Source organism: Homo sapiens, chromosome 10 (assembly GCF_000001405.40).
Source record: "Homo sapiens chromosome 10, GRCh38.p14 Primary Assembly".
Taxonomy (NCBI): Eukaryota; Metazoa; Chordata; class Mammalia; order Primates; family Hominidae; genus Homo; species Homo sapiens.
In genome coordinates, this window is record NC_000010.11 from 108,620,255 (window position 1) to 108,634,483 (window position 14,229).

Consider the following 14,229-nt stretch of genomic DNA (forward strand, 5'->3'; position numbering starts at 1 on the left):
CCCAGGTTGAAGTTTCTGATAGACCCAAACTGACCTCTCCCATTTCACCATTCAAGATTCTGCATCAGTAGACATATAGTCCAGGCTTATAAGCAAAATTTATTCCATTTTTCTACCCACCTAAATTGCATTTATTTAAAAGATTCACTTAAATGCCATGTCCCTTGAGAAAATCTCCTTTAGAATCACAGCCTGTGCTTAGCTCTGTATAACTACTGTCTACAATTTATCTAGTTCAGAATATGTTGTTAGATATTTTTTGAATATATATTATTAGGGCAACCAGAGGATGAGAAGGTCTTCGAGATAAGATATCTGCTTTATATATCTGTGTTTGACCGGTTATATGATTAAAACAAATATAGAAAATTAATGAGAACAATGACAGAATTGAATATAAGTTTCATAGGTAATTAAAACAATAAGCATTTCTTGATGATCTGCTGTGTGGTATCATAGGTAGAGTCTCAGGTTTAGGCATTGGGACACTTGGCCTAAAACCTAAAAATTGCTGGGAAGAGCAAACATTTCGAGCATCAGCTTCATATTACACATTAAGGCCACTTGTCCCTAGTTATAGGAGAAATTGAGTAAGTAAAATAATTAAAACTTCTGTACTTTCTTACACGACATTCTGTTTGAGTCCAGAAAACTGCAGGCCTGTTAAAAAGTTTATTTTCTTCAGCCATTCCACACTGTAGCTGGGGGCTTTAAGAAGCCTCTAATCTTAGCAAACATTCATTAAAATAAAAGGCCACCTGGAGACCCTGGAGAAGAACTCTGTCAGGAAGCCAATTAGCTTAAGTCCACCCCTGACTCTGACTGCTCAGTAATTATTCTAGGGCTATTTCTCTATTCCCTTTTTATTATTATAACCTGTAATTAGTTACTGTGCCATATAATTTCCATAGCCACAGGAAATATTTAACTGTAGCATCAGGGGCACCTGGGAAAATGATTAATTCTAGAGAGAGTGTAGTTTGGGTGACTAGAGCACATCAGGACAGAATCTCCTAATTGAGACAAGTCACCAATTTGAGGATCAAAGTAAAACTTCCTGCTATCATGCCATACCAAATGCCCTCCCCCATGGCTGTGTGATCCAGCTGAGAACAGCATGGGCTCCTGAAAGAAGTCCCACAGCCACATCTGGTTTTGAGGTTGTAACCAGACTGTGATCTTGGTTCTGAAAGGAATTCAATCCTCTTCTCTCCACCAAATAATAGAACACATTTCAGTATCTTATTCAAATTATGAAACATAAAACCCAACTTTGGTCAAATGATGAAGTTTGACCTAATTTGACATCTCATTCTCGGTACCCATCAGAGACACGCCCTCTCTCTCTCTCCTCATCCTACACCTGCTCTTAGCTCTTCCATATATTCCAAAATGTCAATGACTAAGTTACTTCTACCCTGTGTGTGTGTGTGTGTGTGTGTGTATCTTGCTATTCATCTCTACTTTTTATTGAATCTCCACTATTTTAGTATGCAGCAGAGTGCTTTAAAAATATTTAGATCAAACCACAAAAGGCTGCTGCCCTCAAGAAGTATTCAGGTAAGTAGGAGGAAGGTAAAGCCAATATTTGTGACTTATTTCTATGCAACGGATGAGGCAGTTTGTGTGCCTTATGTTGTTTAACAGATGACATGAAGTCAGTGTTAGTATTTCCATTTATAAAATAAGAACACTGAGATCTGGAGGGGTTAAACACATATTGAAAATTCATAGATGTATCAATGTTTGAGCTTCAGTTTCACTCCAGGGTGGCCTGCCTCCAGAATCTATGTTCATTTTTACTACAATGTTTGTTTGTAATAACTGCAACACAGGATAGAAAAGAACACATAGAGAGATGAGATTTCAAACTAGAAACTATCCAGATGCTGCCTTTGATTGAAACTCTTTTCCTGTGCCTAGCATAGAATCTACAATAAAATTGAATATATATATATATATATATATATATATATATATATATATATATATATATATGTGAAGAAAATATACAGGGGAAGAAGTGCTTTGTGTCCAGAAAACAGATCAACTAAAATCATGCATTCCAGGGGCCATAGGCATGCAAGGCCCTGAAGATTAATAACTGACCCTGAAGATTTCCTACCACGTTAATTCCCAGATACATAGAGTTTCTCTCACTTGAGGAAGTCTCCTCATGTATGCAAATGATGTGTATGAATAAAGAAAATTACCCACCATGTTTGTGGACCACACAAATCATAATGGTGGGTCAGGCTCAGGTAGAAAGAACATACCCATAGGTCTGTGCAGGAGGGTGCCTGACACAGTTTAAAGAAGGGAAAGATACAGATTGGAAGGGGAGAGTAGGGGACATTTTACACATACAAAAGAGGACAGTTTAAATAAAATTATATAAGTAACAATGTATGTGTCTCTTTACCTACAAAGAATTTGAACCAATTAGAGTTGTAGTAGATTCTGCTCAATACCGCATTTTTTAAATAATTATATCCCATATTATTTTCTTGAATGGGTATATTACTCAGATTCCAGCTCTTTTGCCTCATAAGTTAGTTATTATCTGCCTTACTAATTTACTTTTGATGTTACACTTAGTTTTGCAGTTAAGAGATGTGGATTTTGAAATAAACTTAAACATTTAAACAAAATTATGTGAGATCACAACCTTGTTCTCAATTTGTCTCTCCAGTCATTCTTAACTTCTTTTTATCTCCAAAACCTTGAATCTCTCTCATAGCACAATGTCTTTATGCATGACTTTGTCTCTCAATGGCATGTTTTATCTACTTTTTTTCCTCGCTAAGTCACTGAGACCTTCATGCTGGAAAGCGTCTATGATTCTCTGGAGTGAGGCTGTCTTAGATGCTGCTTGTCTGTGCTCCTCCTGGGTATGTATATATGTGTGCATGCTACACTCATTGGTTTCTCTGCCTCAGACTATTTTCAGATGGAGTGCTTCTATACAGTGACCCATGCTTTACCATCCCTTAAGAAGAATAATTTTTCTAATAGTTTCAAATAAGATATTTTTGAAGAGAAAGGTGTGCGTGTGTGTGTGTGTAGAGGGCCCCACGGGGACATTTATTTGCTTTTATTAAGGAAAGAGAAAGGCCAAGCAATTAAAGGTGATTGGATACATTGATTGCCAAAAACCTTGGAAATATAAAACTTGACAACCCTTCTATCTACCCTAAGGTGGATATAAACATCCACCACCAAAGAATAGGGCTGCCCTCCTGCACAGAGCAGAGAATTTGGTTGTGTTTGTTTCTGGTGTGTGTGTGTGTGTTTTCTTTGGTTTGGTTTGGTTGGTTTGGTAAGGAAAGGGATCTTTACTGAAGTATTAGGGGTTGGGAGAAAATAAATTAAATCTTACGCTTCTTTTTGATGGATAAGGCAGCTCCAAGAAAAGAACTAGTCCTTCCCGAACCACTGTGTCCTAGAAATTGTGCCAGAAACGTCATGCATATTATCTCATTTAATGATCTCTACAACCCTGGGCTCTCACCGTCTCAATTTTATGGATGAGTAAACAATCTTACAAAGACTATACAACTTGCTAGAGTCACCCAGTTGGTTAAAAGTGGTCACAGGATTTAAACCTTGGTCTCTGGCACTCCAAAGCCCTTGCTTACTAGAACATGGGGGTTACTATCTTTGTCTTCTACTTCAGTTACAGTTAAAGTTATACTTAGAAATTTTGGATGTTTTTATTTGGTACTTAGGCCTCATTCTCTTTTCTGCCAGTTAGTCATAAGACATCTTCTTTTTAAAAACATTGTGCAGAAATGACTTAGTTTCTGGCAATAGAGCCTTATTCCCAGGAGTCACATTATCTTTCAGGTGAAGCAGCAGAACAAATTACTGGAATTAAGGAGCACAGTTCTTACCTTTCCAAAGAGGATGCATATTAGAAATGATGGAAGTAGCCAGACACTACGCTATCACTAACAGTAACATATGAATTTGAAGAATTATTTTTGTGATCTGTTGCCTATTTGTGTGAATTACTGACTAGTATGTGAATTCTCTAGCAAATAGAGTAAGGATAAACATAGTGAGGTTTGACCTCACAGGGCAAAAACAGAAATGGTGATTTAAAGTTCTAATAAAAATAAATCAACTTGAGCTAGATTCTCAAGAGAAAATTTATGTGAGTGAGTGGAGACATAGCTGATGGAAGATCTCCTCCTCCTGGCTCCTATTCTAATTTCCATTTCTGATTTTGGCCCTTAGACTAACATAAAAAACTGGCAAAAGAGAAATGAAATTATACATTATAATTATATAGACAAATGACATTTACAAAACAGGTAAACACCTGCAGTGAAACTGTGTTTGAAATTATCTAATAAGAAAGAGAAATAAATAGAGCACTCCCCTATTTCCAGATCCCCTCTATACCAACATGATAGCACAGTTTATTGGATGGTTCCATTATCAGAAATGAACATGGGCCTTCAATGTCTTGCCTACTTGTTTTTGTGTTCTCAAAAAGGTAATCTTCTAAATGTGATTATGAAAAATAATTGCAACAACAATTGTCCCTTGGTGTGTGTAAATTCAGTTTTATCTGCCATTGAACCTACCAGTCACTGTTTAAGAATATCAACAGCAGCTACCAAATAGAATCATTGCAGAGATTAAATGAGACAGTGTAGGCAAAATGCAAAGTCAGTATTTGAATATGTTAGTATCAGTACTCAGGAGTCTGAAAGAGCAGTTTATGAACTGGTAACTGTCCCTACCTGGCTATTTTACATCTTTATCTCAATTAGTGACATTATAGAACAGCAAAGGATTTAGGGATGTTTTGTAACCAAGAACAATTACTTCATTTCTTCAAGCCTGTTTCCTCACTTATAAAGCACCTGGTTCCTAAGGCTGCTCTGAAGATTTTTTAAAAAGATAATGCATATAAACAACTCAGAACAGTACCTGTTTATAAATGCTTAATAAATGTTAAGCACTGTTACCAAGACTGAGGATTTTCAAAGGCATCCGAACAAATTCCCTTAAGTATGTCATCAGCTGTAGTCCCTGTGATTTAAGACTAGCCTGGTTGCAAGTTCCAGATCCCTCGCATTAGGCTCCATGACATATGAGATCTACAACAGGTTTTCAAATCATGTTTGTCCTTAGACATATTTTTAAAGAGGCAGGGTTGGAAAATGGACAGCACAGCCAATGCCACCATTCTTTTTCATGTTCATGGCATCATCAACACTCTTTATGAGCCTGGCCCACATCTTAGATCCCTACTCAGCACATAGAGTACCCTGATGTGAGCAAATGAGAGGAAGCCAATGATACTACTCCCATGGAAACTCATTCTGATGCTATTCTTCTGAATCACAGACCAGGGAGGGAGGTAAATTTTGTAAGAGAAATGGAGTGAAGATAGGCAGGAAAATAAGCACAACAACAACAAAAAAAATGGCTAATATTTCTTCAAGCATCTTCTAAGTCCTTTTCATCAGGAATAGAGATATATTCAGATTCTAGTGCCTGGTTCAACATAACTGAAGGGTTCCTTTGTGCAACTGGGGAGAGAAAAAGGAATAACAAGGAGAATGCCAGCTTGCACTTTAACGTGCAGCTAACAGTGCCCTTTATCAAGCTCCTTCCCTTTATATTCTACTGGCCCCTTTATTATCCTACATAACAAGTCGTTCCATGGAGTCACCTTCCTCATGTCTGCACCCCTCCGGACTCTCCGTCTAAACCAGGCCAGTCTGAAGCTTTCCTTGAGATCCAGTCTGCGCATGTTTTTATAGTGTCTGTAGCTCCCTTCAAATTACTCTACATTTCTGAGGAGACTTGAGGGAAGAGCTGCCTCTTTTAAAAGGATACTAATACTGTTCTTCCAATCTCCTCCTCATGTGCGTAATTTCCATTATATTTCTGGGACAAGAAACTTATGTAGACGTTCTGGGGTTAATCCTAGCCTACTGTTATTAGGAAGCTTATTTATGTTTTTGATGTCTGCTGAGGCCCTTATTTTATCACTGCCTTTTCAGCACACAGAATCGTTCAGGATGATAAAGGATCGTTCTAATTATAAACGCACATCTATCCCTCTTTCACCTATTACTTCAATTTTAGTAGAATATGGTACAGCTGTGAGAAATCAGAGCTTCATAGCAAAGTCTACTTTCACTTAAGATGGGATGCCAAGCAAATCTCTGCTTGCTTTCTCTTTATACGTGGAATAAAGAAAGAAAACTGTGTCATTTACTGGATACATAACAACATAAATATAATAATATTCCCTTAAGAAAATAACTTGCAGGTTACCTATCAATCAATAATTTGCCCAGTTTACATTTACATTTATTTTCTCTCTCACTTTTTTTAAAAATTTTATTTATTTATTATTATTATTTTTTGAGACAGAGTCTCACTCTGTTGCCCAGGCTGGAACGCAGTGGTGCATTCTCAGCTCACTGCTGCAGCCTCCGCCTCCTGGGTTCATGCAATTATCCTGCCTCAGCCTCCCGAGTAGCTGGGATTACAGACATGTGCCACCACACCCAGCTAATTTTTGTATTTTTTAGTAGAGACCTGGTTTCACCATGTTGGTCAGGGCTGGTCTCGAACTTCTGACCTGAAGTGACCCACCCGCCTCGGCCCCCTTAAGTGCTGAGATTACAGCGCCCCACCTCCTCTCTCACTTTCCTTCTCGCTCCTGCTCTCCCTCTTGCCCTTGCTCTTCCTCCCTTTCCCTTTCATAGAAATAACAGGAGGGGAGAGAGAGACACACACAGAGAGAAGTCAAAGGCAGACTGATGGCTGACTGATGAAGGGATAGGAGAGATGAGAGCATGTAGACAATAGAAGCAGGGTCTATCCTAAAAGCAGCAGTTGGTGAAACAACTCATAAGATAAATTATATCACAACCAGTTAAATAAATAATGACTGGTTATTGAAAAATATGCTTCTTACAGTATCTACAAAACTGTAATTTTTAAAATAAAATAAAATGAAAAAATACTGGTCTTAGATGTTAAATACTAAATATTAGCCTTTTCCTACTTTGTCTTTTACCTGACAATTTCAAAATGTAATCAGCTAGGCTAGAGTTTTGCAGGGTCTCATTAATGGAGACAAAAAATATTTCACTGAGTGAGTAATTAAAATCAAAGGAGCTTCTTCTCTATACATGTGATAAAATTAGGGTAATTCCTTCTCAATAATTCCCTCAGACCTCTCCTGGAGAGTTCCTACTCTTCAATCCTTTTGTGTCCCTTCCATTCCTTTAATTAGCCAATCTTAACCTTGTTACCAGCGACTAGACAAAGTCTAATTCAAACTATTTGTAAATTTACAAAAATCAAATAAAAGTAAATCTAAAGCATATCTCTGGAGACATGGAGTTTCTGTCTGTCTCTGAATCTTACCCTTCTGGTGGTATCAAGCTCAGTCCCAGGAACTTCAGCCCTGAACTGACCTTAAAATTTATGATCCCACACAAGAAAAGCCTATTTCAATTTCTCCAAAAAGGTCTCTACATTTCTCCCATGATAAATTCTTTCGTTCCAATCCCATTCTCCTAGCATTATTTTATGATATATATAACTCTGATAGGAAAAGTTACCATGTTGTTGGCTGTTTTCCCCACATTATTGCCCTTTCTTATGCTGTTTTGTTGTTGTTGTTGTTGTTTTATTTATTTGTTTGTTTGCCAGGAAAACTGTCTATGCCCTGCGAGGCTTCTTATAACAGATCCATGTCTCTGCATAATTTCATACAACAGTCTATATCACCCAACTTTGTATTTAATAATAGGCCATCTCATGTTATTTACTAACATTGTATGGGAGAGCGTCTTTGTTTTCCTACCAGATAGTAAACCCATCCACTCCCTCCATCCTCCTACTCAGCTTATGCATGCAATACAATGCACACTGATTACGTATGTGGACACTTAAGGATTACAAACATTTTGTGTGTGTTGCCTAGCATATTAGCTGGAGGAAAAAGTAAGGTAATACTTCTAATAACTTATTAAGAGTAGGTATGTGTATATGAAATTTAATATTAAAATGTTCAACATGGTTACTCAGCAATAAAACACAAATTAAAATCATAATGAAATATTACCTCATGCCTGCTAGGGTGGCTATTATCAAAAAGATAAACAATAACAAGTGTTGATGTGGATATAGAGAAAAGAGATCCCTTGTACACTGTTGGTGGAAATGTAAGTTAATAGTCATTATGAAGAATGGTATGGAAGCTCCTCTGAAACCTAGAACAGAACTTCCATATGATCTAGCAATCCCACTTCTGGGTATACACTCAACAGAAATGAAACCAGTATATCGAAGAGATATCTGCACCTCATATTCATTGCAGAATTATGCACAATAGTCAAGATATGAAATCAACCTAAGCATCTATTAACAAATAAATGGATAAAGACAATTATTACACACACACACACACACACACACACTCAGGATTATTACTCAGCCTTAAAAAAGAAAGAAATTTTGTTATTTGTGACAACATGGATGAACCTGGAGGATATTATGCTTAGTGAAATATGCCAGGCATACAACGATAAATACCACATAATCTCACTATATGTGGAATCTGAAAAAGCTGAATTTATAGAAGTGGAGTGGAGAACGGTGGTTGCTGAAGGCTGGGAGAGGTGAAGGTAGAGAATGGAAAGATGTTGACCAAAAGCTACAAAATTTCAGTTAAACAGAAGGAATACATTTTCAAGATCTGTTGCACAGTATGGTCACCATAGTTCATAATAATATATTGCATATTTCAAAATTGCTAAAACAATAGATTTTAAATGTTCTCGGTATAAAAAAAGATAAGTATTTGAGGTGATGGGTATGTTAATTTGCTTGATATAATCATTCAACAGTGTATACCTACATCAAAACATCCCCTTATATATCCCATAAACATACACAATCATTATTTTTTCAATTAAAAATAAAAACTTAAAAAACTCCCTAAAATGTATGTATGTATATCTATATACATACACACACATACACATACACACATATACATGTCTCGTATACATATATATGTGTAAAGTTTCCTGTGGATACACTTGATATCTGTTGTCTTTTTCTCCTACCTAAGGCTTGTAATGCCAGAGGTGTCATACAACAGGCACTCAACGGGTACGTATGACTGTTGCATTATCACAGAGTTTCTGTATTTTTGTTTTTGTCATTTTCCTCATAAGTACATGTTATGTAGAATGACTGTCAACATAAACATACCCTTTCAGAATTGAGCTTTCTACCTTAAACTTACTGAAATTTAAAGGTTTTATTTATTTTAGCATGTATAGCTCAAAGTTATAGAGAAATGTATGAAAACACATTGTATAAATACATGCAAGCTGTAGAGCACATGCTGTTTCTCTCCTGCAAGCACCCCTCTGAAATTTTTATGTCAGCAACAAGAAGCAATTTGGGAAGAGGAAAGGGAATGAAAATTTCAGAATGTGACATCTGCCCCCCTCCCCTCCTAAAAATATACCTTACCAAGGGACAACTCTTCTTTATATAATAATTGTAGCTAACATATAGTGAACAAATGTTTAAATGAGAAAAAAGAACGACCTTTAGAAAGCCATCAATGTAATAATTCACTAAGAAAAGAATCAGAGGTTATTGCCAAAACACTGGGAGACAGGAGTTGGGAAATATGATATTTACACTGGCTCAGAGATTACTACTGATGACAAAGCAGGGAAGCATATTTACAAAGAAATCCAGGGACCATCTTAGCTGAATGATCAATGTTTCGTCATCAACAGCAGAGTACATGGACCTTTCTCTTGCTGGGAAGCAATGGGAAGAACAGAGCGACACCCTGAGGAATAGCCTTGCTCTGACTCTTACCTGGATCTGATAATGGGGTAAAATTAGACAAACCAAGATTGAAGCCCATTCTATAAGATACTTGGCCTTTACCATTTAAAAATTTCAATATCATGAATGAAAAAGAAAGATGACAAATCTACTCCAGAGCACAGAGATTAACAAGCCATCATATAACTAAGATGCAAAACAGGTAGTTTACCTTCCTGAGCAAAAACTGAATGTCTCTGTGCCTGGGGAATGATGGGAGAAAACACATGCCCTATGCAGCTGCAGCACTGAAAGAAAAATCAGATACCTGATGTTTTATCAAAGAGATCTGGGTTGGGAATGGAGTGGTTATCTCAGGGACTCTGCTCTCTGTTCTCTAGACACACCTGCCTCTTTCCAGAACACAGCTGGCATGCACCTACCTCAGATCTCTTTCTTTTCCTCTGGACTATTCTTCAGGTAGGTATGAATCTCTCTTACCTCCTTTAGCCCTTTGCCCAAATCACTTTCTCTGACTACCCTATTACATCTGTACCCTGTCTTCATCCTCTATGAGCATTCTTTGTTTGATTTTTCTCCAGCATACTTTTTTCGCTAATATACTATATATTTTACTTCCTCATATTTATTTTTGTCTCCCTATGCCCAGAAAGCAAACACCGTGATGACAGGGCATTTTGTCTTTTTACTACTTTTCAGTGCTTACTATATGCCAGCATCATCTTGTATGTGACATTCCCTGCCTACGTGGAATGTGTACTGACCCTCTCACTCTACGTTCAGTGCTGCATCACCTTTAATCTATAATGGCATACTTGAGACAGAAAAATGCATGATGCCACAATGACACAAGAGTTCCGATGTCATGAATCGGTGGTGAAGGCCCAGTCCCATCAAGAGTTTATGAGAGGAGAGAGGATTCCCTTGTACAATTGGTGAGTGCAGGGTGGACACTAAGTGCTCTCTTTCAGTCTCCTGGTCTGCGTGAATGTTCACAACCCCAGAAAGAATTCCAAAAGAGCAAATATGACCTTAGAAACTTCTCTAGCTCATGGTGGCCACAGAAATTGTCATAATTCTTCCAAGGCAGGCAAATTCAGTCTTCACAACAGAAGTGTTACTTTCTCCTGCCTGACTGATTATGCTGAATGTAGGCACACACACAAAAATGCCAGAAACTAAAAATATAGGCCAAACCATTAAAAGTGAACAGTATAATTATTTTTCTAGAAGTATTTGCATGGGGGACATGTGGTCTTCTTGATATATAATATTTATGGAAGATCTTGCTGAAAAACAGAGAGAAAACCAAGATTAGATGTCAAAGTATCTTCCGAATCTATCTTCTTGCTGTAGCTACAAGATGAGATGAAAGAGCCCAGTCAATTCTATAAGACTCAGGCAAGGCTGACTGTTCACCCATGCATGGTTCCTGCTCTAGATGCTAGATCTGCTTTACGTTTGAAATTATACTGTAGACATCTTTGTCAATAAGTCATGCATTCTGAGAACTCTTTCCCTGGGGGAACTCCTTTTGTCTGGAGCCAAATATGCTTTCTTCCTCCATTTCTCTCAGAAAAAAGAAGTCACTTTCCCTTAAAAAATGACTGGTAAGGATTTAGTCTGAAACTTTAAAGTTTACTTGCCCCATAAGAATTGAGCCTCTCACTGCACACTCAGCACTGCATCACACTTAATCTCTAATAACGTATCTGAGACAGAATTAATGCATAATGCCATGATGACAGGATAGTTCTGATGCCATGAATCAATGGTGAAGGCCTGGTCCTATCAAGTTTGCAAAAGAGAGGATTCCCTTGTGCAGCTGGTGATCTGCAGAATGGACACTAAATACTCTCTTTACTCAAGCTAAAAGGACTGCAGAAGTTCTTGAAAAGATCAGTTTCCAAAACTGAATATTCTGCTACTTAGATGGAAAAGACTCCTGGACAAATTCAACAGCCCATCCCCTTTCTCTTGCTTAGGTAAATCTAGCATCATGTATTCGTTCTCTTCTGTTAGTTCCATGATAAACTGGGCATTTAGAATGCCACTTCCTGTCCCTCTGTTTCTTATTATATATAGACTCCCTAGTACTTGACACAACACATCAGCAAGATTCTGATGACCTCTGGTGGTCTCCCTCACTGCTTGAATGCACACACACAGACTGTCAAGCAATGCTAATAAATATTGATTAAGCCAGTGTAGTCCCAAGAGTGATGGTCCCAGGAGAGGAGAGGAATTAAAAAGATCCCACAGACAGCACTCAGGGGAGACATCAGCGAACCTTAAAGAAACACCTCCTACAAATCACAGCTCTGAGGCAAACACCAAAACTAATGAAGTGTTTGTAAATAGATGTGTATTTGCTGGGAGAGCAGGGTAAATGAAGTGTGAGACAAAGCAGGAGGGCTTTGCATGTGGTTTTGAGGCAAAGGGCTGGGAAGGAGGAAAACACAACCTCACAATCTTCCTTTTCTTATTTTTCATAAATCAACAGATAATGTTGTATGTTTTTATCATGTACAACATCATATTTTAATGCACTTATATGTCATGGAATGGTTCAGTCTAGCTAATTAACAAATACATTACCTTCCATAGTTATCATTTCTGTGGTAAGAGCACATAACATTTGCTCTACATTTTGCAAGAATACAATATATCATGATAAGCTTTAGTCATCCTGCTATAGAATAGATCTCTTGAAATTTATTTTTCATACGTAACTTTCATTACATATCCTTTGCCCAACATCACCCTTTTCTGTGTTAGCCATCCCAGCCTAAGTAGCAACCATCTTTCTCCTCTCTACTTCTATTTGGTCAACTTTTTTAGATTACATGTTTGAGGGAGATCATGCACTATTTGTCCTTCTGTGCCTGGCTTATTTAACTTAGCATAATGTCCTCCAGGTTCATCCATGTTGTCACAAATGGCAGGATTTTATCCTTTTTATGGCTGAGGAGTATTTCATTGTGCATACAGACCACATTTTCTTTACCAATTCACCTACCGATGCACATGTAGGTTGATTCCATATCTTGGCTATTGTGCATAGTGTTACAATAAATTCAGAAGTGCAGATATCTCTTCTACATTCTGATTTCAACTCCTTTGGATATATGCCCAGCAGTGAAATTGCTGAAACATATGGGTAGTTCTATTTTTAATTTTTTGAGGAACCACCATACTGTTCTTCATAATGGCTGTACTAATTTACATTCCCACCAGCAGTGTATATGCATTCTCTTTTCTCCACATCCTCATCAGCACTTGTTATCTTTTGTCTTTTTTGTAATGGTCGTTCTAACTGGGGTGAGATGATATCTCATTGTGGTTTTGATTTGCATTTCTCTGATGTGTTGAACATTTTTTCATATACTTCTTGGCCATTTGTTTGTCTTCTTTTGAGAAATGTCTATTCAGGGCTTTCCCACTTAAAAAATTATGTTGTTTGTCATTGAGTCATTTGAGTTCTTTACATAATTTAGAAATTAACCCCTTGTCAGATGTATCGTTTATAAATATTTTCTCTAATTCTGTTGGTTGTCCTTTGGTTTTGTCGATTGTTTCCTTTTGCTGTGCAGAATCTTTTTAGTTTAACATAATCCCATTTGTCTATTTTTGCTTTTGTTACCTTTACTTTGGGGTCTTATCCAAAAAAAAAAAAAGCCTTCCCCAGACTTATGTCATTTCTGGTATGTTTTTTTCTATTAGTTATATAGTTTTGGATCTCACATTTAAGCATTTTAATTCATTTTGGGTTAGTTTTTGTACACGGTGAGAGATAAAGATCTAATTTCATTATTCTGTATGTGAATATCGAGTTTTCTTAATGTCATTTATTGAAGAGACTCTTCTTTCTCACTCGTGTATTCTTGGCATATTTGTCAAAAATCAGCTCATAGTAAATGTGTGGATTTCTGGGCTCTCTCTTATATTCCATTGGTCTATATTTGTCTATTTTTTACTCTTGGGCTATTTTGGTGACTATAGATTTGTATTATGAGGTCACATAGGGTGATAGCTCTAGTTTTGTTTTTTGTGCTCAAGATTTCTTTGACTGTTTGGGATCTTTTGTGGTTCGAATGCAGAGAAGCTTCTCGGCTTCACTCAGGAAAGAATTCAAGAGTGAGCTTGTGGAAGAAGAATGCAGCTTTATTGAGGCAGCGGCAATGTTACAGCTCTGTGACTGCTCCTTGCAGAGCAGGGCTACTCCATAGGCAGTCTGCCTATGGGCAGTTTGCAGTCATATTTATGCCCACTTTTAATAACATGCTAATTAAGGGGTGGGATATTCAGTAAAAGCTAGACAATGAGCTGTAAATTTCAGGTGTTGCTATGGCAAAAGAAACAATAACTTCA